The sequence below is a fragment of the Homo sapiens genome, chromosome 18 (genome assembly GCF_000001405.40).
Source record: "Homo sapiens chromosome 18, GRCh38.p14 Primary Assembly".
In the NCBI taxonomy this organism is placed as follows: Eukaryota; Metazoa; Chordata; class Mammalia; order Primates; family Hominidae; genus Homo; species Homo sapiens.
The window spans coordinates 5,431,113-5,458,653 of record NC_000018.10 but is presented as its reverse complement, the minus strand read 5'-3'; the positions used below and the strand labels follow the sequence as shown (position 1 = coordinate 5,458,653).

The following is a 27,541-nucleotide window of genomic DNA, read 5'->3' as shown; positions in this document are numbered from 1 at the left end:
GTTTTTTTCTATAGTTAGATAGGGCGAGAGAATATTTTTCCTAGTTATCCAGGAGTTTGAATTTAAGAAGGGAATCCAAGACACATCCCCATACCATGCCCAGAACTGCTGTCTGCATTCATCAGATGATCACACCCACTAATCAGATGGTGTCCAGATCCAGGTGTGTTGATAACTGGGCGATTCGAGTGGCCTAATACAGTTTAGCCAAGACCTCTCCTTAGAAACCATGATCCATCATGTATTTTTCTATATTGTGAAGGATAAAATGTGTATCAAATCAAAGTAATAGAGTAAAACCACAGTTTAAGACCACTTACTCCTTGGGGAAAATTTGAGAAGTTTATCGGGAAGTTAACCTTTATATGATGTTTGAGGTGGAACATTAAAAAACAGGTTTTTCATTTGTGGGAATAAAGTATTCTCTTTTTACAAGAATGGGGGTAAAAATTCAACACTGTAGTTCTAGCCAGAGAAGATTATACCTGCATGGTAGAGAAATATAAACAAATTGGTCATGAACAAATTTCAAAGATTAGAGCAGTTGTTCAAGAGTCTTAAAGCAGGAAATGAACCCCAGATGCATTTATTTAGCTTGATTTTCTTTGATATTTTTAAAAAAATGTTTCTGCTCGATGCCCGGCACTGTAAGAATACAGTGGTGAGTGGATATAGCTTACAGGTAGGCTACCCCGACCACAACTCAAATTCTAATACAAACAAAAATAAAAGTGCCCCCCTGACAGTGGCAACGCAGGAGCTATGAAAACAGCTTCCCTGAGATGTAACCTAGTCCTGCAGTTCAGGGGTGGAATCCTGAGGAAGGGGTGCTTGAGTGGTGGAGAGAAGGACGAACGGGTAGAAGGCTTCGGGGCGTGGAGGTGTGTGTACAGTCTCCTCTTTGCAGGAGAGAGCCTCACAGGGAGCGAGGTGAGGTAGCAGGGAAGTCACAGAGGCAGGCAAGCCTGGGAGGCCCCTGCAGGGTCTTTCCACAGTTAGGCTTTTGCTGTCTGTGTACCAGAAGCATCTCTCACTACTGAATCTGATAGCTAAACCGTGATGTTGTCATATAGCTTTCTTCTCCCTGAGATCTGTGTGTGTGTGTTTTTTTCTTTTTCAATGGTAAAAACAGAAGTTAAAATAAGTGATACAGTCTCAGGGATGACCTCCCTAAATTTTCACTTCACTGCCTACTGTGCCATCCGAGATCACTTGTTCCACCAGATGAAAGCAAGGAGAGCTGGTTTATAGGATCAGCAAGACTTCCAAAAAAGCAGGGGAGCAGAGCTTCCCGAGCCCCTCAGTCCTGAACCTTACTCAAGTTCAGCCCCGAGGGCAGATAAGCTCCAGGAAAGACAATTGCTTTATCACAAGCAGAGAAAAAACAGTGCAGTCTAAACATGTATGGAATCTTTTACTTTTGCTTGAATAGAATGTTTGCGATTTTCCTACAGATAAAAGAACGGTAGAGTTGTTGCTTACAGGAAAAGGCTGTACCTATCTTGAAGCCATGTTGAGAGTGCGGTTTGCCTTATGGTTTCAGTTTTTATGTGATTGTTATTTACTACCATTTGCAAATGCTACTCATATGTTTTACAGATTGTAACCACAGAACTTAAAGGAATAGTCATCTGAGATTCGGGAAGGAGCAGTGACTACCATTCCCTGCAGGTTGCTGAGCCACGGGATCGCTGCAGTGAGCGCGCCTCCCTGCTGCTCCAGCTTCTCACTGGGCTGAGCCCAGAAGACAGGGCCTGCCGTGTCTGGTTCTCGAATTAGACCAGGCCTCCCATCTTCTTAGCAGGGTTCAGCAGCTTCCTCCTTACCCCTGTCACAGGAGTGGGAACGGCTGGGCAAAGAGGATTAGCACTGGCTTTCTGGGATTGTGGGTTCACGCAGTATTAAGCCAGGATGCCCTGATAGAGGAATGTTAGAAAACAATACTGACCTTTGATGTGTAGACCCAACTATACCCCTCAGTGGCTCAAACAGGGTATTACATGTATCAGAAACAAAAACCAAAAAGTATACAGAATCAAAATATTTAATGATTGAGAAGGTTTTTTCTTCCCCTATCTACTGGACTTTAAATACTCATCTAAAATATGATATGCGCAAGTGCAGACAAGACTGAATGAAGCATCATTTACAGTGTGAGCATGTCCTGTTTTTTTAACCACTTATTTACATTTCATTACAGGTCTTACATAGATTATAAGATCATTTTAATTTAAACACATATTTAACTGGTGAAATGATATATCATTACATCTTTAAATATGCTGGTGGTTTATGTAATACCTTGATATTCTTTCTCTTTCTATTTATTCTCAGCCTTGCCCTACTAATATAGGCTTAAACAGTTGATGGACAGGAAAGGACACAGATTCACTTAGTACATAGTTTTTTAAAGCAATGACAATATTATTCTCATGTTTTTTGATTATCAGTGTCTTACAGAATTGAAAAGTGACAGTGCTACAAATTCATACTCATTAAATTCATATTATTGAAAGTGGTGTTTTTATTGTCTATATTTGAGTTGCATATAGCTCTTCATTTGACCAAATGAATTATAAATCACAATTCAAGTTTTGTTTGTTTAGGGGTTTTTTTGAGAATTCTTACAAAAGAAGTTAAGTACTTCCTCTCACAGGAAAATTCTCAAAGTTTCACGTCATTCAGAATTAGCTAATATGATTATTTTACGTGATTCAGGTTTAAGTACGTGTCTGTTTCAAACATTCCTCCTTCTTAGACTTCCTTTTCTGCGTTCATTTTGCATGCGTTGGCTTAGTGACCTGAATCCACAGCAGGAAATGTTGTCTGACAGTTTGCTGCCAACATCTCGTATGTGTGATGTGAAACTCTTTGCAAAAAATCAAGCCCAATGTTTCTGCTAGCCAAGAAGAAGCGTGCTTCACTGGAAAGCCATCATCTACCACAGTGCACATCTCTGAGTGCAAAAGTCTGGTTTCAAGTAGAGACGGAAATTACAACAAATGAAGGCAGGAACCAATTAAAAAAAAAAAAGCACCTTTAAAGAAAGGTAGATGGGCTTAATATGTAGGGAGGTACTTTTGTCATGTATGTACTTGAAGTGTTTGCGCACTGAATCTAAGTCAAAACATAGGTCAACTCTACTGCATGTGAACAGCCCAATCTAGTTTGGACATTGCTATATGGCTTACAATGCATAATACCAAAATGTGCCAGTATACCCAATATGTATTTAAAACTGTTCTGGGAGTGTGTGTTTGAAAAGAAAAATTGAATGTAGACTCAGTTTACTAATATCAATACTATTTTTGAATAATTTCCCAGTTTTACCTATGTAAAGAGAAGGGATTTTTTTTTTTCGTAAGAGTAATGGTATGATTTGTTTTCTATGATTTCATTGTAGAATAAATAGGATTTTAATAGTACATCAGTCTCTATTCCAAATTCAGCATTAGAAACCTTAAATTTATCAGGCTCCTTATGAAAAAGGCCTAATAATAATCACCCGCATTTATTGTTGATGCTTCCCATGAGTTAGGCAATGTGCTTTCCAGTGTTTTATCTTAATACAACAATCCTTTGCATAAGTACCAGTATTATTTCCATTTTATAATGAAAACAATGAAGCTCAGAGAGGTTTAAATAACTTGTCTAACATTACAGAGCTGATTAGTTGTAGAACCAGAGTCCAGCCTTGGGACTGTCTAATATACTGCACTTGAATAATGGGAAGACAAACTTTCAGTGGGTAGGAATATCCAACTTAAAGGTGTTTAAATAATGCCAGATGAATTCTCATCTCTAGATAATTTAGACCTGGAAATTAAACACACATGTTCACTATTTTGTTTATAAATTTACCAAGACCAGGAAGTAGTTTCATATTCCTATTTTAACAGAAGGCTCCAGATCATTATTGCTAACTTGATTAAATGAGAATGTGATAGAACAATTATTGATTGACTGATGAATGTTTGAAAGTAGTTACCCTCATGGTTTTCTGAAGAGCTGATTGCTCATGAATTTAAAGAAAGGACTGACAATATATGTGCCATCTAGAGAGAAGAAATGTGATCTCTGCCTCTCATGTCAGCCCTCTATGAATATGCTGCCTGGACCACATTTGGGATTAGTACATAGGCTGAAAGATCCCATTAAGTCCTGCCTCTTGAGAATGGATTCTGGCAGTAGTGATGTGGATAATGGACTTTCCATGCTTATTAAACGTGGCATTGCATGTACACTTGAGACAGCCCAAAAAGGCAGGAGATTCACATAGGATAGCTGGTGCCTTGTCTTTCTTCTTAGGGCTTCCCAGCTCCAGCCCTTTCTAAGGCTTTATGGACTCTGTTGTCCCAGACCAGACACCATCATCTTTTGTTCCTGGGTTTGACCACGGCGCTTTGGCATTTTCCAAGTATGGATTAAAAAAAAAAAAAAAAAACAAGGAAACAAAAAAAAAACACACTCTCCGCTTAAATTTCAAGGCAATGTTATAGAGTATTTTTCTATCAAGAATTCGTTAGAAAAAAAGGAAGCCCAGGAAAGGTGACTTACACAGAGTCCAGGTGTCTGATTTGGGCTCAAGCTGTGGCCCAGAGAGTTTGCCGAACTCTTTAGAGTCTCCATCCTTGAGGTAAATGGTAGTGCAGTCATTTAGAAATAAAGACAAGTTCAAGTGACCTTTAAATGTGAGGAAAATGAAAAGGCATTCAGTGAGGAAAAATGCAATTAGGGCAGGAAGCATGGGGGGAAAAAGATGACATTTTGTTAGATTCGTCCAAAATAATGTGAGAAGAAATTCTTTCTTGAAATTCTTGTCAGTAGCACTTCTTAGACACATAGATCGAATGCCTGCTGTGTTCAGGACACTGTACCAGGGCAGTAAAAAGGACAAGCAGTTTTCCATCCTCAGGGAGCAGAAATAGGAGTTCACAAAATACTATACTCATGAAGAAATATAACTTCCAAAAGAAAATCAGGGGTCTATTTGAGGAAGATAGGTGATGGAGAGAATGAAGTACTTACGGTGTAGACAGCCCCTCAAATAAGGATACAGAAGCATCAGTTTTGCTGGAAATTTTCAATATTGTAGCTCTCCATATTTTCATGTATTAACATGAGTGGGTTTGAGCCTAAGCCAGCATAGGCAGGAGGCTTTTTTATTTTCATTTTTCAACGTTATTGTCTAAAGAAATGCATGCATGCATCCTGAAGAGCCTTGCCAATGCACACACCTTCTGATGCAGGAACCCCATTCCTTCCTGAGCAGCAGGGACTGCTGCTTAGCTCCAGTTCTCATGCAAAACAACTTGCTCTCCTCATTCTCTTCATGATTGTACAGCTTCAGATAGATAACTGTACCCTGTCTTCCAAGGCTAAAAGACAGTTTTTGACTTGACAGATTTCTCTAATTTCAGCTGTGCCAGAAGAGGGCTTCACTCAGGCTGATTCATAGCTTTGTAAGACTGAAGAAAAAAACCCAAACACATTTTATTGTAGTCCAGTGCTGAGACTTGGCGCAATTTGTGCCTTCCTGCTTTTGCACTCATTGTCTTGGGCACAGACTAAGAGATGATTTATAGGGATTCAGGAATGGAGGCAATGCCCATTTTGGAGAAAGCTGTGCCAAGGAGAGCTGTCCTCCCTGGCCTCAGTGCCAGGTGTTTGTACCCGTCAGTCACCCCAGTCACCTGCTAGGGAAGATGTGAATGCTCCTGCTCTATTAGAAAAGGGGAGATCAAGACATTTATTAACCTACTAAGGGTCATTCTTTAGTAATGTGACAGGATCTTGAGTAAAAGTGTATTTTAACTATACAAAGGGAAACTGTCTCCGTTTTTTAAAAACACACACACACACACACACACAACAAATTTTTAAACATTTCTGGTTTTCTTATATTGTATTCATAGCTTTAAATGGAAGTTAGTGTTTTTGCGTTTCTTTCGAGAGTTTAGTGGTTTTTCTCATTTGTGTCATTTTATTTTAGCATTTGGCCAGTTTATCATTTCCTGAGAACTTTTATTTTTCAAGAAAATGTGTTGGAATGAATGTCTTCAGATTTTAAGCCTGGGGCAGCATAGAAAGACCCCATCTCTACAGAAGAATTTTTATAAGATTTGCCGGAAATGATGCTACATGCTTATATGCTAACTGGGAGACTGGGGTGGGAGGATTGCTTGAGCCCAGGAGGTCAAGGCTGCAGTGAGCTGTGATTGCACCACTGCACTCCAGGGTGACAGAGTGAGACCCTGCCTCTAAAAAAAAAAAAAGGATTTTAGGCACTTGTGTCTGTGTAAACCAATTTTACTGTAATGCAACTATGAATATTGGCCTAGACGAAATCCGAAAAAGCTATATACTTCCTCCCAAAAAAGTAAAATATTTTTAGAGTCCTCATATTTAAAAATTTATAAGTTGCAAACATATTTTAATTTAAAGTGACTGTTCAGCCATACCAGCATACCAGCATGCATTACCTGGGTATATTTAAAAAATGCAGATGTCAGCCAGGCGTGGTGGCTCATGCCTGTATCTCAGCACTTTGGGAGGCCGAGGTGGATGGATCACTTGAGGTCAGGGAGTTCGAGTGACCATGTCTCTACTAAAAGTGTCAAAACCATGTCTCTACTAAAATTACAAAAATTAGCTAGACGTGGTGGCGGGCAGGTGTAATCCCAGCTACTTGGGAGGCTGAAGCAAGAGAATCACTTGGACCCGGGAGGCAGAGGTTGCAGTGAGCCGAGATCACGCCACTGGACTCCAGCCGGGGCAACAGAGTGAGACTCCGTCAAAGCAAAACAAAAAGCAGTTGCCTTGGCCCAACTTCAGAAATTCCAATTTAATTGACCTGAGATAGGGGCCTGGACATTGACATGTTTTAAGTGCCCCCAGGATCCACTGTTGAAAACCACTAGTTTAAAACATTGCTTCGGTGTCATTGCTTACGGCTTGCTAGTGAGAAAAATACTTTTGTAAAGTTTCATCAAGTTACTGTTTTAATCTCTCAATGGCATTTGACAAAGAAAGAGGCCCTGTGAAAGATGACATGCAGGAGGCCCAATGCCATTGCAAATGTCTTTACGGTCAGGGATATGAAGTGAGTGCCCAGAGACACAGCTGGGATGTAAGGCAGAATATAGAAAGTGCTGCCATAAAGTGCCACAAAGTCCAAAGGAGAGAGAAATCACATTTGTCTGGGAAGACAGGAAATGCTTCAGAGAGTTGGCACTGGGGAAACCCCTTGAAGGATGAGAGGACTTAACAGGCAAAGCAGAACATGTGGGACATTGAGAGCATCATTATGGGTAATGCCTGAGATGGATTGAAACACATCAGAACTGTTTAACTCAGTGAGCTCATCATGATAGTATGAAGCCAAAAGATCTAATTGGTGACTTTGGGTGATGCTAGGGAGCCAACTCATCATCTTGAAAATGGATAAAGGGAGAGAAACAAGCATTTATCTTCATTTTCATAATTAAACTGTGTCACTGGGTAAACAAATAGTTTTGACAAAAGGAAATACCTCTTTATAAACATGCTCCAGTTAATAAATGAAGAAGGAATGATTCGGATTAGAATATCACCATTTTGCAGTCTGGAATGAATGATACAGGGCAATGGTCATCAGTGACTGCTAATGTCACACATGTAAAAAAAAAATCAGGCAGTCACGTAGTGCTTCCTAATGAAGTATCATTTATGGAAAACAAACCGGAACCTGACGAAGTTTCTAGATGTAACTCCCACTTCAGGGGCGATTCAGGAGACTGGGAGAGCTGGTAAATTACACCATAAAGATGCAAACAGGAGAATCTACACTGAAAGAACTCCACAGGCAAATGACATAGTTTCTTAGGCAAGTTAATTTCAAGGGGAAAACCAAGATAAGTGGAGAATTATCAGGTTAAGTTTTGAATTTTCTAAAATGTCGATTCAATGAAAATTTTAAGTTTGTATTTACTCATGATAAAAGTAAAATCATTTGGAGGTTAACTTTTTTTTTTACTAACCTTTTTAATTAATTATTTTATTAACAATTTAAACTAAGAATGTATTTTTGTCTTTCTCTTTTTAGTTAGTAGATGTATGTTTTTGGAGCAGTTTTAGGTTTATAGAAAAACTTGAGCAGAAAGCACAGAGTTCCTATATACCCCCTCACACTCTTCCCCTCACCCCCCCCAGTTTCTCTATTTTTATTTTTTGCTATTTCTTACAGGAAGGATCCCCTATTTTTAACATTTTGCATTAGTGTGGCACATTTGTTACAACTGATGAGCCAATATTGACACATTATTGTTGACTAAGGTCCATAGTTTACATTACAGTTTGTTCTTTGTGCTGTTCATCCTGGGGGTTTTGACAAATACATAATGTCATGCGTTCACCATTTCATGATCATACAGATAACGGACTGTTTCACTGTCCCCCACATCCCCTGTTAGCCGCCTATTCATCCCTCCCCACCCCCAAACCCTTAGCAACCATTGGTCTTTTTGCCTTTAGTTTTGCCTTTTTCCCTTAGTTTTGCCTTTTCCAGGATGATATGTACAGTAGTCCCCCCCATTATCTGCAGTCTCACTTCCCCATTCTGTTTTCCACGGTTTCACTTACCCACAGTCACAGTCTGAAAACAGGTGAGTTCAGTACAATAAGATATTTTGAGGGAGAGATAGAGACTACACTCACATAACTTTTATTACAGTATATTTTGTAATTATTCTATCTTACTATCACTTATTGTTAATCTCTTACTGTGCCTATTTTATAAATTAAACTTTATCATAAGTATATATGTATAGGAAGAAACAGAATATGTAGCATTCACTACTATCTGTGGTTTTAGGCATCCATTAGGGGCCTTGGAACGTAAAATCCCATGGACAATGGGAGACTGATGTCGTTGGAATCACACAGTATGCATCCTTTTCAGATGAACTTCTTTCACCTAGCAGTATGCATTTAAGGTTCTTTCATATCTTGATAGCTCATTTTTTCTTTTATCAATGAACATTATTCCGTTATCTGGATGCACCACAGTTTGTGTCTTCATTCACATAAAGAAGAACTTCTTGGTTGCTTCCAAGTTTTGGCAATTATGAATAAAACTGTTATAAACATTTGTGTGCAAGTTTTTGAGTGGACATACGTTTTCAACTCATTTAGGTAGATACCAAGGAGCATGATTGTTGAATACTGCAAGAATAGGTTTAGTTTTGTAAGAAACTGCCAAACTGTCTTGAGTGGCTCTACCATTTTGCATTCTTGTCAGCAATGAATAAGAGTTTCTGTTGCTCCACATCATCACCAGCACTTGGTGTTTTTATTGTTCTGGATTTTAGCCATTATAACATACGTTTGGAGGTATCTCGCTGTTGTTTTAATTTGCAGTTCTCTAATGATGTTTGATTTGGAACATCTTTTCATACGCTTATTTGCTATCTGTATATCTTTGGTAAGGTGTAAGTTCAGATATTTTGCCCATTTTTAAATTGGATTGTTTTCTTACTGTGTTTTAAGAGTTCTTTGTATATCTTGGGTACCAGTTCTTTATCAGATACGTGTTTTGCAAATATTTTCAGCCAGTCTCTGGCTTCCCTTTTCATTCTCTTTAAGTTCTCTTTTGACAAACATCTCCTAACACCTAACAATTTCAAGAATCAATTTAGAAAATTTTTTAATTAAAGAAAAAATGTAAAAAGTCATGAAACTTGTTTAAGTTGCTTGGAGATATGCCATTTTTAGGACATTTCATTTAAAACTTTCTTGATTGTTGGACTCAGTATGTCCATTTACTCTATCAGAAACAGAAATGCAATTTGTCAGGGGAAATTTTAAGAAGAGGGCAAGCCACCGTTGGTTTGTTACTCTAGGAAAGTAAAATCACATTTTGGGGATGATATCATACTGAATAGTATATACAAACTGAATGCTTTTGAGTCAGAAATAACCACTCATAAATAATTGTAAGACCAAAATATCAGTCTTTTCTGATTAGGTAATTATTCATTAGTTTAGAATACCTCTATCCATTTTTTTAAAAAATATACTCAGTTCTTGACTCATAGTATAGCATGTAACCACACCCAATGATTTGATCACTTAAAGAACAACATGTCTTTTGGAACCATAATAAACATCATTTCTCCAAAATTTCCAGTCTGATTGATTGTTGAGATTTAGTCATATATGGTAAACATGATTACCTGCAGGCACATGCAGATATCAATAAGTAGAATTAGTTGACTTGAAAAGTTGAATAATATGCTAGAAAAAAAAATCATCTGGGTTAGAAGAATCAAGACATTTTTAGAGTTGGGAGAGAAGGGATCCAGTCCAGGGCTGGAAAATAAGTTTCATGTCATGTCCCACCTCCATCCGTTGGCAGCATCTTTCTCATCATGACGTGTAGAAGGATGCTGATGCCCGATCTGGGTGCAATGGGAGAGAGTGCCTCAATCCATTAGTGGTTTGCAAAGGGAAGCCCAGTTAGAGCCTCAAGCCCATAAACATCTTGCTCAGTAGAATCTTACATCCCCACTCAAGGATGAGAAAATGGAGGCCCGAATAACTTAAAAGCCTTTTCCATAGTCATCCAGCTGGCTGGTGGCCATGCTGATATTTAGCAGGTAAGAATTTCATTGCTTCCATCCCATGATATAACCATCTACAGCTGATACCAGACAACTGGTCTTAGCTCTAAGGATTAGAAAAAAAAAATCTTCAGTGTGGACTAGTATGTTATTGTCTTTAAAACCAGTGTTTAAAATATGTTTAAAATATTCAGTAAGAAAAGATCTGGTCTATTTAAGAGAAGGATGGGACTCATTAATAGAAATCAAATTGCGAGGAACCAGAAAAGTGAGAGCCAGGTAGCATTAACAGTCTGTGTTTGAGCTAACCCATGCCTCTTGTTAGGCAAAGGAAAGAACACAGCAGCCAGAAAGTGGCGAATTGGAACTGTAACCAGGGCGCCTGCAGCATATTCAGAAACGATTCCTCCGTTGAGAAATGGCTGTGGTCTCTTGCGTCAGAAAATGTAGGAGGCATAGGGTCCAGTGAAGCCTTGTAGAGAAAAGTTTTTGTATTTGCATTTGTTTTGGTTTTTGTTTACACATAGAGAAAGTATTTGGCCAGACACTGATATGTATTTTTCTACGTTGTGTGTATGTAGGTAAAAAAAAAAAAAAAAAAAAAAAAGTAGTCTAGCTAAAGCAATTAGGTAGTAAGCAGGCATCTAATATCTAAAGAGTGGGACATGTTAATTATAAAGCTGCTTATTGGCACCACCAGGAGTTGGATATGTGCTCCTATAGAAAACACGCATAATAATCTGCTCTACATTAGTTATTCTACTGTTTGTCAGCCACCAGGCTATAATAATAGCTGACATCTATGGAATGCTTAATATATGCCACCACTAGGCCACATTTGAATACATTATTTGATTTTAATGTCATCCATTCCAAAGAAGTAAGTAGTGTCATACCCATTTTACATAGCTGCAAGGGACATCCTGAAGATTCAAGCACAGGTTTACTTGATTCTAAAGCTACTTCCCAGGTCATCACATAAGTCTGCCTCTCTCATCCAACTGCTTTGAACCTCTGTTCTTACCTGTGAACTAGAGATCATACCAATAGAAGCATCAGAAGAACCAATTTTTGTGAAAACTTCATAATTTGTGAAGGCTTATTCAGAAATAATATGCTGTTATTTATAAATATTATTCAGAAATAATATGCTGTTATTTATAAACAAATGATTTAAACCAGCAAGCAGGCGCTTCATTGTCGAAATATTTATTCATAGCCGATGAGCAATGTTATTATGTAGTTTTGCTAACGAGTAATTTATTTTCATAATACTTTATGGAACTGTTTTTTCCAAATACATCATCGATTATTTAGCTAGCTATGATTTAGGCCTTACTTTTCTACCATAAATTTGCCTTTTCTCCTAAATAGTCATGCTTGAGGGGACTGCGTAATTGCTTTCAGCATAATTACAGCTGCACTATAACACAACACACGACTCACAGGTCTTTTGAATGCTTATTATTTTGGCATAGACATAGTTGATCAATTTTCATATTTCTCATTGGTATTACATTAACTCTTAAAGACAAATATGCTTAATGTATTAGATGTAAAATGTTAGTAGCGCACAAACAAAAAACTCATTTAGTTTATTTGTTGTCAGTTAATTCGTCACAGACTTCATGACTATGTTTAAAGGCCTTTGAAGGATTAGGTGAAAAAATGATACGTCACAATAAATTAAGCTGATGAATTTTTTTTCCAAATGACCATCTTTTTCTCCAGATGCTGGCTTGATGGTCAGAAATATAACTCATATATCCCTATTTTGTATTTATATATGATAACTCAAGTATTCTTTAAACTGAATATTTTGTTATGTTTAATAAGGATTTGCTCTAAAAAAGTTAAGAGAAAAACTCTGTATAAACTGAAATTTGTGACAAAAGAAAAACAAAACAAAAATAATGAAATTTGTTTAATGGATTTTAGAAAGTGGTCCTTAGAATTTCTAACTAAGGATTTGGGATAGGTTTTAAGTGAGAGTCTGCCTAAGACAAGGAGCAGGGTTAATTCTTCTCAGGCTCAGAAGTTTATCTCATAGAGCTGCGGTCCCCAACCTTTTTGGCACCAGGGACCAGTTTCATGGAAGACCATTTTTTTTCTATGGACTGGGGTGGAGGATGGTTTTGGGATGAAACTGATCCACCTCACATCATCAGGCATTAGATTCTCATAAGGAGCGCGCAACCTAGATCCTTTGCACGCACAGTTCACAATAGGGTTCGAACTCCTATGAGAATGAAATTCTGCCACTGATCTGACAGGAGGCGGAGCTCAGGTTGGCAATGCTTGCTCGCCTGCCACCCACCTCTTGCTGTGCAGCCCTCTTCCTAACAGACCATGGACCAGTAACCGTCCATGGCCCAGGGGCTGAGGACTCCTGATCTAGATAATTGAGTTAGGGCACTCTGCATTATGGCTTTTGTTGGTTTGTTATGTACTCTTTCACTGTCAGAATTTTTATGTTTCACATATTTAGGCTTCCAAGCATCACATTATTTTCCCCAGTTGCTTCCATTTAGAAATCACCCACTGGTCACCTGTACATACTAAGTAGCGCTGTTGATACTTTGCTTTTGTTTATTTGTGGGGTGGGCTTTTGTAGGTTGAAGCCTTCGCCCTCCCCTGCCATTTTTTAGCCATTTTTGCACTTAAACAGGAGATGGCAATGTGATCACACTGTTGGTCACTCCCTAAAGTTACACCAAGCAATGTTTTAAATATTACCTGGTTTTATCTCTGATATTTGGGAGAACTTTCTTTGTGTTGTATTGACTTGCTTTGCTATTCTGTTTTCTGTAGAAACGCTCCAGAGGACAAGTGCTGTTTGATAAAGTGTGTGAACACTTGAACTTGCTAGAGAAAGACTACTTTGGGCTTACGTATCGAGATGCTGAAAACCAGAAGGTGAGTGATCAAAAGCAATGCAAAATAAGATGGCTTGAACTGCTCATTACTGCCAGAAAGTGAACTGAAACTGAATGGGTGGATCACTTTCTCCACCTCCCTTCATTCTCCCACACTTTCTACTTTGAGTCTGTAAATGCTGTTAATCATCTATTCCTTGATGAAGGAAATCACTGACAGCTTCCTTTAATCTTGAATATTCTGGTAACAGTAAATGAAGCCTTGTTTTTCATGCTTGAATTATTTGTGGTTCCTGGAAAGCATTTTATGTGGTTCCTTTTGCCGGGGTGGGGTTGGGGGGAGTAATGTGTTTCAGTAGATTATTTGAACCAATGAAAATCAATTGATATTTATGTAAAAATCATGCTCATATCCCAAAATTCTATGACGATATTATGATTGTAACCCATAAACTGTCAGGGCAGTTCACCATTGCTGCTGTCCTATTTTTCATTTATCTTTTTATGCTTTCATAATGTTTCTGAATCAGAATATGAGGGGGATTGTGTGCTGACCTGACACTTGTCTAATATGTTTAGTAGATGTTTTATGTTTAATGCAATACCTCTGTAGACTGTGTTCAGGGCTGTATCTCCTTAATCCACGCAACTACCTGAGAAATACAGAAAAGGAAATCGTTTCCATTGCATTGACACTGGAAGCTGAGTCAGAAATTTTGCTCATAGTTGTTACTCATTTTGGTGTTGTGCCATAAATCATCCTTAATACCTCCTGAATTCTCCAGACAATGCCTCACTTCATTATTAAACATCTGATTTTACCAATGAGGAAAATCGGAAATCACAGGCAACTATTGATTTGTTAGGGAAGCTTCCTAGGTAGATGCCTAAGGATCTTTTATTGCAGAAGTCTCTAATGTGGAACTGAATGGCTAGGATATCAGTGTATCCAGTTACATATATTTTTAATTTATCCTAGTAACTTGTCTGAACATAGACTCTTCTGTCTTTTCCCCTCTTTTTCTGTGCTAGCTTGAATCCCTGAAGGCAATGGTTATAAAAGAAAAAGACTTTTGTCAGGCCCAAACTGCATACATGTGCATTTTCTCATTAGACCAGTGCCTGGGCCCTTGGAGGGCTTGGCAGAGGGGCACCAGATGTGGGGGAAGGACCACAGTAAGGGAAGCCTTCCCACGACCACTAACTCCGCACTGCATTTAGGGAGAGTCTGTACCTAATCAACATTAAGTCATTTTTATTCTCCTCTGATTCAAATTCAAAATGTCATTTCCTTTTCAGAATTGGTTGGACCCTGCTAAGGAAATAAAAAAACAGGTTCGAAGTAAGTTCTTTTGGATTATTTTTTGTGGAAATGTGAAGGTTTTCAGAGAGCAAGTTGTCTGAATTGGTAGCCCATACCTAAGTGGCTAGTGTGAATACAAGCTTTTCTTATCTCAAATTTGATCTGGCAATTCCGATAGTATTCATTTTGTAGTTGTCACAACTTGGAGTTAAAGGGACCGTGATGCTTGGCCTGTTTCTCTGCCTGTGAATGGATGTCAAGTATATGATTTAATCAACTGATGTTAGAATTGGCAATTAACCATTTAAAACTTCCAAACTGAATTATTAATGTTCCAACAGTCACAAAAGTATGAAAGGCCAGATGAAAGTCATAATCATTTCATAGCTTTGAAAAGGAATAACAAGTCAAACTGAGGTTTACTGTCTGGTAACAACCTCTTTTCCTGGTCCCCTGAAGGCAATTTGAAAAATACGTATTTTAATGGACCAAACAATTGCATGAGCAAGTCACAAATTTAAAATACAAGTAGCTAATAAGTCTTAAACAGTTGCTAAATTTTACTAATGATTAAATGCAAATTAAAATGACACATTTTTCACCTATTCAGATTAACAAAGAATTAGGGTTTAATAATAAACTATAGCACTTATTTACTCAATTGGTAGAGTAAGTTGGTTCAATCATTTCAGAGGGCAATTGTCAATATTAAAATTTAAGCTGTACTTTTTGACCCTTAATTTCACTTGTGGAAATTTATTCAGCATATCTATTAATGAGGAAAATGTGCATTTGTATAGCAAATGAAGTTTCATTATATTACTATTTACAGTAGCAGAAAACTAGAAGCACCTTAATTATCCATGTATAAAGAAATTATTAAGTCAATCATGGAAGAGCCATATAAATACATCTTAGCTCTCTTTAGTGGAAATCAGTTTGCAAAATATTATCTATAGCATAATCACGTTTGTTTTTAAAAAATTATGTCTGTATAGATGCATGGAAAACTTTTGGAAGGCAGGAAGGTTTTAATAGTAATTACTCCAGCAGTATCATCCAGTGTCGGGGTTGAGAAGGAGGAGTTTTTAAAATTTTTTTACCCTTTCCGATAGCTCTTACTTTTGCCGCAAACATGGATACTAATTTAAAATAACTACGTTTTTATTCATATTTTTGTCAGTAAAGTCTAAATTCTTCCAAACAACTAATTCTAGTTAAAGAACACATTTAAGAGCAGTTTATTAATAAGAACATCATTCCCATTTCAATAAGTAAAACTTTTCAACAGTTTACTATTAAAAGAGCAAGCAAATACTTCTCAGTGCCTTTGAAAGTCGTGAGCTATCAAAATAATACCCCAAGTACTAATAAAACATAATCACTAGTGAGCAGTTTGGAAATGGTTCAATACTAGGTAATATCCCAGAAAGACAAAAGTATAACCATACTTCTAGATATAAGAGAGTCGGGTGATTATTTATACAATTAAGACATCTTTACCGTATGTTTGAGGGAAATTTGATGTATCCACTACCCAGAAACTTGATAACAAATTAGGTTAATAGAAACAGTTAATTGAGATGGAAACCAGGGATAGCTGTAGTTGTGATAAATAGGTGAAAACACTACTTATTTTTTGTTCTGAGGAATCCTAAGAAAAAAATTAAGATAAATATTTTTCTAAGGAGTATTAAAGAGTTACTAAAATAGACATGCTGAATATATATCCTAACATTTTGTGTGCATAAAGTTCTCTTATTCATCTAATTAATGGAATACTGAGCTGATTAATAATTGCAAAGTACTTTGAAAATATATAAAATGTTCAAGGATAAGTCATAATACCATGACAGGAAAGGCTGTATAAACTAATTTTCTTTTTTGTTATTAATAGGATTCATTTTTTCTTTAACTTCCCATTTATAGTGTCTTCTACCATCCTTTCAAAGAGAAGAAAGCTAAAGGGACAAGACAATCAAAACAAGAGTTTTAAAAGATTTTTTTATCATGCAGATTAGGCAGTGTATATGACTTTGCCATAAAGAAAACTGACAGTCTTGCAGATAAAGGAGATAAGGAAAGTTGGAATTTCTTTAAAAATGGAATTCGAGGCCGGGCGCGGTGGCTCACGCCTGTAATCCCAGCACTTTGGGAGGCCGAGACGGGCGGATCACGAGGTCAGGAGATCGAGACCATCCTGGCTGACACGGTGAAACCCCGTCTCTACTAAAAATACAAAAATTAGCCGGGCATGGTGGCGTGCGCCTGTAGTCCCAGCTACTCGGGAGGCTGAGGCAGGAGAATGGCGTGAACCCGGGAGGCGGAGCTTGCAGTGAGTCGAGATCGCGCCACTGCGCTCCAGCCTGGGCGACAGAGCGAAACTCCGTGTCAAAAAAAAAAAAAAAAAAAAATTGGAATTCGATATTTTTACCTGTATTCTTTGTTGTTTCCCATCCACTAAAATGCCCTCTTGCCACAAAATTTTACATTCAACCAAGGCAGAGAAGTATTACCTTATCTAATGTAATTATTGTACCATCATCTCCACTTCCAAAATATAAATGATAAAAGGATGTTTCCATGCTTTTTATGCTGTGGGCTCACAGTATTCCTTTAGAATGAGATCTCTAAGAAAATGGAAACCGAGCTAACAAATATCTTAAGTCCAAATTTATGATAAATAGAAAATTCTAAAACTTCATGCCTGTAATCCCAGTTCTTTGGGAGGCCAAGACAGGAGGACCACTTGAAGCCAGAAGTTCAAGCCCAGCCTAGGCAACATAATGAGACCCTGTTTCTATTTTTTTAAAAAATTGTTTTAATTAGCTGAGCGCAGAGACACATGCCTGTAGTTAGTTAGTCCTGGCTACTAGGGAGGCTGAGGGGGTTGGATCACTTGAGCCCAGGAGTTCAAGGCTGCAGTGAGCTGTGATTGTGCCACTGCACTCCAGTCTGGGTGTCAGAGTGAGACCCTGCTTCTAAAAAACAAAATTTTGAAACTGAAGAGTTCTTATGAAAAAAATTCTTATTCCAGTCATCTTTTAAGCATGCAGGATCTTAAAATTTCTAAATAGACTATATTTTGTGATTTTAAGTATGTTTATGATACAGTAATTTTATGACATAGAGCATATATCGCACTTTTATGATATAAATGCAGTATATTAGAAATTTTAAGATTTGTCTGGCATAAAAGACTAACATTAGAAATTTTTCATAAGAATGAACTATCATCAGTGTTATAATTTTCTATTTATCATAAATTTGTAACTTAAAATTCCACATCAGCATTATAGAAATATTCATTTTAATGTGTTCAAGCTGTTTCATTTCCTCTTTCTAACTAGGGCCCTCATTTGAGCAGATGTAGAGTTGCAAACTTATTTATTGCGTAAGCACTTCCTTCTCAGTGGATTTGTTTCTGTCATATTCTTTATGGGGATATGTATTTGAGCTTTAATCTGCCTCTCTCCTTAATTTCTAGTGTTATGCCCCATTTAACTGGACTTTTTTTTCTTTATTGGGGTGTAGATTGTATTATAGTTTCTGTACACTTTCCCATTGTTTCAAAATACTGTCCTGAAAGATGTGTTTTTTGTGTGTTATAACCTTAGGGAAGTAGATTCCTTAGTAGCAGTAGTGATTTTCAAAATGTGGTTCCAAAGCCCATTTTTATTATTAGAAACATAAGGAAGCTTATTCAAGCCATCGATTCCTAGGCCATACTCCAAATCTCTGGAATAAAAATCTCTGGGGTGGAGCCTGGGAATTGGCATTTTTAACAAGTACCTCAGGTATTTCTTCGGCTCACTATAGGTTGAAACTTGCTTTCCTAGAATGAGGATTTTTGCATTAAATGTCTTTTCTGTATTTTTTATTACTTATTAGTGTCTAACTTGGATATTTATTATAAGATTGTATAATTACATTGCTAAACTATTCATTGGATTCAGGGCCTGCTTTGAAGTGAATAAAAATTATAAAAGAGCAATAAATCCATTTCCCATAACTAATCCATTAGTTTTAATTCCACTTGCTTGGGGGAAAGCCAGATCTCATTATGAACCTTACCACTGGCAAGCGTTGAAGGGATCTATTTTAATAGGAAGTGAATAGGAATCAATAAGAAAATAAAACCAAATCAGAATATTTTTGGAAAAGCAGAAGTACTTTTTTGAGAACAGTGGGAAAAACAATTACGAAAATGTGTTTGACTGACAGATATATTTTGAATGGTTTAAAAATGATATTAAGTTCCCACTAATGCCTGGTCCTATGGTAAATCCTTTATAGGGCACCTCAGGTAGAGTTCCTGCCATGTGGAATCTTAAATGTGATGTCAATGGTAGTGTTAAGAATTAACTATAACTAATACATGGATGGATCTATGCCATTTATGACAGAATGTAAGAAACTGATGAAGCTAAGTATTGCCTCAGATGCAAGAGAACAGTTCAGAGAAAGGAGCTAGGAAATACAGTACTGTACCTTCTTCTGAATGTTTGGGAAGGGCTCATGGAGCAATGGAGTTTCCAGAAGTCATTTAATGGAGAGACAGGGAGATTTGGAAGTCTTGGGAGAGTATTGGAAGCATAAGGGGTGGACTGTGAAGTCAGAATCCTAGAGTAAGGGCAAGTCGGTGGCCGCTGGGTGAGGCATGGGTGAAAGACCTCCAGGGTGGAAGCCTGGGGGACTGGGAGGAATTTTTCAGTAAACCATTCGAAATACAAGCAGGACCTAGGCTCTAGTGTACCTCTTGGGTAGAGGGAACAAATATGAACAGCACCACAGAGAAGAGATACCCAGACTTTGGTAAGTTACTGCATTTGAAGGCCGGAAGAACAGAGTGAATACAGTAATGATCACATAGTAAATGTGGAAAAAAAGAAAAGGGTATTTTCCATGTTTATATTGATAAACCATATACAATTAGAGTTAGTGTTAATGAGATGTGGAGCTTAGTTAAGGCTTCATAATGTTTCAAGGATATGTGTTGACAATACAGAGAGTAGATACTTGTGAGCTGACTCCTGGTTGACCCTTTTCAGTGCTGGAGAGGCCTTGAGTAGAGGCCACAGGATAAAGATTGCAAAGCATAAAGAGGATCTGGCTAAGTCTCAGGCTGAGGAGGTGCAGGTGCAAAATTTGGCAATATGCAGAAAATACATTCAAGTACCTATTTCATCAAAAATTTCCCTGAGCAAGAAAATAATTTTCAACAGCCCACAGAGCAGCCCACTTACTAGAACACTGTTCACTGCAACAAACCTTTCCCATAAAATAAACGTATGTTGAATAGTCCCTTGACATTTATTATAATTGGATATGACCTGTAATAACAGAGCAGAAAGGACAAAGAAAATGGGAATTATGATTGTGGTGTTGATCTGTGAGCTATGCAGAAATTCGCAGCAATAAATCCAGCCACTCCCAGACTTATCTGATTGAAGATTATTCGTGTCACTCATGTTTTTTCCTTCTTCCAAGTGCTTGCTTACCTTTGATTCTGAAAAGGGTAGGAAGTTTGATCAGTTTCCATACTAGTTAAAAGTACCAATAAAGGATTTGATTGGGAAGAAGATTAGAAGTTAGACAAGGTTTCAGACTTATCTGTAGATTTCATGTGACCAAGGTTTCCCAGTTTTCCATTAATGGTCAAAAGTTGCCTGGGTGTTAATGCTTGGAGTTAAGGCAGTTCTGGCCATCGATTAGAGTCATAAGAATTTCTCAAGGTTTTACTCTAATTTTTTTCCATCCTTGCAGGTGGTGCTTGGCACTTTTCATTTAATGTGAAATTTTATCCACCAGACCCTGCCCAACTATCTGAAGATATCACCAGGTATTTGAAAGTTGGCTATGCAAAAGACAAGCATATTGGGAGAGTTGTGCTTCTCTTAAATGCTCCGGAAAGAGCGTGCTTACATCTGGTAGCCTTACAATCATCCACGCTCAAATGGCAAACAAAAGGCAAATGAACGAGAGCAAACATCTGATGAGATTTGCCAGTTCCTATCTTTTCACTGTTGAATCTTTGGTGCCAGGCTGATATTCCCTCTGCTTGACCCTGGTGGGAAAACTTGCAGAACTGAGATACTGTCATCCACCTACCATAGTCAAATTGGATGGAATTCAGCCTTGTATGATATAGCAGCTCTTAGTTTTTCTGCTTTAATACTTAGAGTAAAAATGTCCTTGGATGCTTGTGCTTTTTATATAACCAACACATACACACACACATAAATTTAAGTGTTTAATTTCTATGTCCTGTATATACAAGGAAAATGATTAATTTGTTTTCTAGAAAGAAGATATTAAGCAAGAAATCAAAACATTAAAATATTTCAGTTTGGTAACAGCTTTGAGTGTGAAAGGGGATCTCATTATAAAGCTGTACTGGATGTCTTAGTCTGGGCTGCTGTAACAAAATACTATAAAGTGGGTGGTTGATTGATAAACAATAGAAACTTATTTCTCACCATTCTGGAGACTAGAAGTTTGAGATCAGGGTGCCCGCAGGTCAGGTCCTGGTGAGGATCTGCTTCTGGGTTGCAGAATGCTGACTTCTTACTGTGTCCTCATGTGGTGAAAGGGTGAGGGGGTCTCTCTCTCTCCAGCCTTTCTTGTAAGGGCACTAATCCCATTCATGAGGGCTCCACCCTAATCACTTCCCAGAGACCCCCACCTTGTGATCCCATCACCTTGAGGGTAGGATTCGAACATATGGATTTGGAGGGGAGGAGACACAGACACTCAGTTCATTGTTCTGGTGTGCTCTGACCTTCTAGGCTTCTCTCCATTCACCTTAGAACCCCTACTCTCTTGCTCAGCTCCGTAGTAAGTTTATGACCAGTCAAAGCAATTTTGTGCAGTGTATGCAGAATTTTCTGTGTAAGCTTTGCATTCTTTTTGGAGGGCTTTACAGAAAAGGGAAATTACTCAAAACAACTTCAATCACTTGCTACAGTTAAAAATAATTTCACCAGACATATTAAGAGAAGGGTAAAAATTAGTTCCAGAGGATTTTTTATATTGCAATAAATCAGAGAAAAGTTATAATTTCTTATTTAAAGATAGTTTTTAGTTGCTATTGAAGAACTGTTTTATTTTGGCTAATTTGTGGTTTTAGAGCCCACATATACCTGGATTTGAAAATGTAGTTCATGGTGGGCCAGGCACGGTGGCGCACGCCTGTAATCCCAGCACTTTGGGAGGCCGAGGCAGGTGGATCATGAGGTCAGGAGATCAAGACCATCCTGGCTAACACGGTGAAACCCTGTCTCCACTAAAAATACAAAAAATTAGCCGGGCATCGTGGCGGGCGCCTGAAGTCCCAGCTACTCAGGAGGCTGAGGCAGGAGAATGGCGTGAACCTGGGAGGCGGAGCTTGCAGTGAGCCGAGATCGCGCCACTGCACTCCAGCCTGGGCAACAGAGTGAGACTCCGTCTCAAAAAAAAAAAAAAAAAAAAAAAGAAAGAAAATGTAGTGCATGGTTTCTTTCTGTTGACTCATGTAATATTTGTAGAGCTGAGGCTGTTAAATGTTTAAGGATTTTTTTGTCATAATTACATGGATTTATGTCACTTGCCTAAAATCATATTTAGAGGGGACCTTTAAACTTTCTCATAGTCCTCTGCTTCCATAGATGAACAGTTCATTTCTTATATACAAGGTACCAGGTGTGCTTTGTTCTATCCATATACTAGGCTGTGCTTGGGATTATTAAAACTCATCAATGTTAACACTTACCTTGGGGTCTTTGGCAGTTAGTAATTTATCTGTAAGTCTCAAAAGCAAAATAACGGAGAAGACAAATCAACATATTTTTATGTAGGTCATATTTTTATGATATGGCAAAATTATATGGAAAATGTTAATTTCTCCAGTTTAAAACTGTTTATTTATGGGGACAAGATTCTCGAATTTTAAGGTAGGAATTCTTTATATCTTAGATAGATTTTAAGAAGCTATCTAAATTCTAAAAATGAGAACTGAAAACAGGAGAAATTGTGTTATTATAAAGAGACTACCTCATTAAGAATGCAGGAAATTGAGAGTGAAGTTTATAATGACATAGCTATTGAGTTACCTGAAATCTGTTTTGCTCGTATAGTAAGACCTGTCACCTTAATATCAAAATACTTCCATAAGGCTAATTGGGGCCTAATAATCACACAGTCATGTCACTTAACAATGCGGATACATTCTGAGAAATGCATCTTTAGATGATTTTGTTGTTGTGTGAACATCTTAAGAGTGGACTTGCACAAAGCTAAATGGTAGAGCCTGCTAGTCATCTAGGCTCTAGGATAAAGCCCATGGCTCCTAGGCTAGAAACCTGTAGAGCATGTGACTATACTGAATACTGTGGGAAATTATAACACAATGGTAAGTATTTGTGTATCTAAACATAGAAAACGTACAATAAAAATATAATATAAAAGATTTTTCTTAATGGTACACCTGTGTAGGCCACTTACCATGAATGGCGCGTGCAGGACGGGAAGTTGCTCTGAATGAGTCAGTGAGTGAGTGAAGAGTGAATGGGAAGGCCCAGGACATTACTGTACACTACTGTGGGCTTTATAAACACTGTATACTTAGGCCACATTAAATTTATTTTTAAAAATTTCTTTCTTCAATAATAAATTAACCTTAGCTTACTGTAATTTTTTTACTTTTTAAACTTTTTGACTCTTGTAACACTTAGCTTAAAACACACATCATACAGCTGCACAAAAATATTTTCTTTCTTTATATCCTTATTCTGTGAGTTTTTTTCTATTTTTAAAATTTATAATTTGTTTTTACTTTTAAAACTCTTTTGTTAAAAACTTAAGACATAAACACATATATTATTAGCCTAGGCCTACACAGGGTCAAGATCATCAGTATCACTGTCACCGCCTACACATCCTGTCCCACTGGAAGGTCTTCAGGGACAGTAACACACATGAAGCTGTCATCTCCTAGGATAACAGTGTCTTCTTCTGATACCTCTGAAGCACCTGCCAGAGGCTGTTTTACAGTTAACTTTTTATTTTTACAAATAGAAGGAGTACACTCTAAAATAATGATAAAAAGTATAGCATAGTGAATACATAAACTAGTAACGTAGTCACTTGTTATCAAGTATTAAGTTCTGCACATGATTGTATGTGCTAGTCTTTTATACATGTAGGTTTGTTTACACCAGCACCACCACAAAGGCGTGAGTAATGTGTTAGGCTATGACATTAAGATAGCTATGACGTCACTAAGCAATAGGAATTTTTTAGCTCCATTATAATCTCATGGGACCACCATCTTATATGTGGTCCATCATTGACTGCAACATCGTTTTGTGGCACATAACTGTACTTAAGAACATTTTTACATTATAATTCCCCCACCCAAGGATTTCAGGAACTGTATTGGGGACTGTTCATTTGACTTTAAAAGTTATTTTAAAAGATGTTAGAAGAATATGTCTTTAAGTTTCTTTTAGACTGTGCTTTATTAATAAAACCCTATTATGAACGTCGACTTGCTTCTAAATGCCTTTAAATACTGTCTTTTGTAACCAAATATTTTTCCCTTCTATCTAGAACAAGTATGTATGAAGTAAATATCAAAATATATAGACGCTAGAAAATTTATCCTAGAGAGGCTGTTCTACAGGGAGAAATTATTTGCCCACGATTTTTACCAAGCGACCTCCTTTTCCTGTATCCTCATGCTGCCTTCGTTGTGTTGTGCTTTTGGTTCCTGGAAGGTACTACCTCTGCTTGCAGTTGCGAGATGACATCGTGTCCGGAAGGCTGCCCTGCTCCTTTGTTACCCTGGCCTTGCTGGGCTCCTACACTGTCCAGTCAGAGCTCGGAGACTATGACCCAGATGAATGTGGGAGCGATTACATTAGTGAGTTCCGCTTTGCACCAAACCACACTAAAGAACTGGAAGACAAAGTGATCGAGCTGCACAAGAGCCACAGGTTAGAGGCAGAAAGGTGTTCATTTAAGTTGTGCCTTGATGGGAGAGTGTCCCGCACACAACCCACCTCTTCCCAGTACTGATTTCAGTCCATTAACGGCGAGACGTGAGCATAGTGTGGGTCCATGCACAGTAAAATTCTGAGATGGGCAAGCTCTCACTCAGAGCATCCAGGTGTTCGTTTGTAGTGCTTTCTTGCAAAGCCCTTTTTCTTGTTATTCTTTTCTCATGTATCTGCTGGTGCCTCCATAGGACTTCTTATGAGATAGCATGGAACTAAGTGGGAAATATTGCAGCCTACCAGGGAAGGGAAAAGCATCATTGTAACATATTTTTCTTCTCATCAGAGGAATGACGCCAGCAGAAGCAGAGATGCATTTCTTGGAAAATGCCAAAAAATTATCAATGTATGGGGTAGATTTACATCATGCTAAGGTATGCATCTTTTTAAACCCTAAACTTTCAATTTAATATTATGTAACTTGATGTTGTTATTACTGTAAGCTGGTGATTTTTACTTCAGTTAATGTAAATGAAACCTCTGAGAATTCAAATCTCTGCTTGTCTTTTAAGCCCTACTCCACGATACAACAAATGTAGCTTTCTGATATTTACTGAGGGGTTTGCTCTTTGTGTCTCAAACTTGCATTACTCCTGGGCACAGCCTTCTGAAAGCCCGTGATAGGCAAAGCCTCTGATTGCCTTTTGATGCAGTTAGAAACCTACCTTGACATAACAGACTTTTACTTCACCCTGCCTCCCCATCACAGTCGTATTTCCCACTCTGTGCCGTCACATAACCTTTGCTCCCATCAGACTCTGTTTCTACGCTTTCCCTGACTATGTCCGTCTCTGGACTATCCTCCTCTTTCCTATCTGTCTGTCCGAACTCAGCCGATTGTCCAAGACTCAAGCATCACATTCATTAAGTGCCAGACACTGTGTGTGGCCCTACCTTCATACATACCAGGCAGTCAGTAAATTCATATTGAATTTAAGAAGTCTACCTCTAAAGTTTAGGCACTCTGACAAATAATCAGAGCTCTGAAATAAGGTTGTTGTTTTAAAGTTCACCTAGGCTAAGGTTTGCTTCGTTGACTGGTGATCGATGAAATGTTAAAGGTGTATCTTGGGAATGGAGTCTTGGGTACAAAGAATTTGGGTTGAGACTGTAGGAGGGTTACAGTCGTGAGGATACACAGAGCAGCTTTGACTCTGTGTCATGCTTTTCCTGGAATCTTCGTACTTTTCAGTAGTGGTAGAATGAAGATAGGACTACTAGTCTTTTTAAACAGCCCAGAATAAAAGTCTTGTGGAAATACAAGGAAGCTTTTATGAAAACTTTTATTAGCAAAACATGTAAAATGTGTTAGGATCCTAGGTTTGGATTCTGATGCATTAGCAGTGTTAAAAAGGTCAATGTTAAGGTCAGAGGTTGTTTCTTCTGACTGGGTCCAACAGGATGACATTGTTCCTGTTTAGGGATGTGTGTTTGACTTTTATGGACAGAGTTAGTCACCGATTTCATGGTCTGAGACTCACAGAATGTGCAGTTACAGGTTTCCAGGCCAACGAGTGTCTTAAACAGTCAGGTTTAGGGCCTGGAAATGAAGAGAATTTCAGCTGGCTCCATTCGAGCAAACACCTCAGCACCCCTGCGGACCCATTGCAGGGAGCTCTGTGATCTGTAGGTTCTGTTGATACTGGAAGTTGGGCTGCACTTTGGTTAGCTTTTGGAGAGCAGACTAATCCACAGGGATTTGGGGAGAATAGTGGCCCTTGAATCTGTGCAGGTTTGATTGGTTTTGCCGCGGATCACTCTGCACGTCATGCAGGATGAGCTCTCCAAGGCCTGAGCACTAGCAAAATCTCTGTGACTTGGCGGAGGTTCACACCAGGGATGTGCTGTTATGTTGAATGCCAAGCTCTTTGACATTTGTGTATAATTACAACAGCAGGTGTAGCTCTGTTTACTTGCCAGTTCATTATTACACTTTTTCACCTATTTTGCACTCAGATAACAAAGATGTTTTCTATTATATGTTAGGTACAAGGTAGAGTGAGAATTTCAAAATGAAAATAAGAACAGACATTAAGATTTTTAAATTTCTCTTAGTGTTTCCCCCTAAGAGGCTAAAAGATAAGGAAACAAGAAGGAAATGAAGGGAGCCTGAGAATTTGAGTGAATCTGAAGCTATTTTTGAGTTACATCACACACTTTGATTCTCTTACTGCCCAGAAATAAATAAATAAATAAGTAAATAAAAGATTAGGATATGCATTTCAGGAAGTGCACCTCAGGATGTATCAGTGTTTCTATCAGTAAATATAAAATCACTTAACATTGCTATAGCTACAGAATTAAAATAGATGGCTGCCTTTTCATTTAATAATGTGATTTCAAATTATGCCAATTAAAAAGAAAGAATTAAGCAAGCGCAACTGTAGCATTATAGGAATTTTTCTGAATATTAAGTATAACAGATAATTCAGTTATAGACTCCATTTTCCCATGCAGCCAAACTCCATCATTTGAAGAAGCAAATTTACTGAAACAAATTGGAACTAATCTCCGGTTATGAGCGAGATGCCTCGCTTCTGTTGACGGTGTGAAAGACCCTGAGCTTTACAATCCATTTAAAAATTCTGATCTGGAATCCTGTATGAAGAATAAATACCCATATTACACAAAGGTCCTATGTTTTGGAAAACCCAAATGCTTTGTTTTTTCTTTGTACATCTGTCTCTGCTTGTTTGTCACTTAATGTGCATCTTGATAGGCTTTGTCAGA

At 37.9% G+C, this 27,541-nt stretch overlaps 1 protein-coding gene across 61 annotated transcripts in view, besides 1 other annotated feature; it reads left to right on the top strand.

The window, feature by feature from the left end:
• Positions 1-27,541, top strand: part of EPB41L3 (erythrocyte membrane protein band 4.1 like 3) — a 238,278-nt gene that overhangs the window by 172,010 nt on the left and 38,727 nt on the right. For all 61 annotated transcript variants that reach the window (NM_001384702.1, NM_001384706.1, NM_001384705.1 and 58 more), the window contains 5 exons: positions 13,410-13,514; positions 14,774-14,816; positions 20,544-20,619; positions 24,533-24,751; positions 25,098-25,185. In NM_001384702.1, the coding sequence (NP_001371631.1) occupies positions 13,410-13,514; positions 14,774-14,816; positions 20,544-20,619; positions 24,533-24,751; positions 25,098-25,185 (531 nt within the window). The remainder of the gene's footprint in view (positions 1-13,409; positions 13,515-14,773; positions 14,817-20,543; positions 20,620-24,532; positions 24,752-25,097; positions 25,186-27,541) is intronic.
• Positions 1,747-2,247: an enhancer, noted in NCBI's record as "H3K4me1 hESC enhancer chr18:5456406-5456906 (GRCh37/hg19 assembly coordinates)". NCBI's record gives its function as "activates a minimal SCP1, AML or CMV promoter by ChIP-STARR-seq in naive H9 embryonic stem cells {active_cell/tissue: H9 hESC(naive)}" and the evidence as "EXISTENCE:reporter gene assay evidence [ECO:0000049][PMID:30033119]".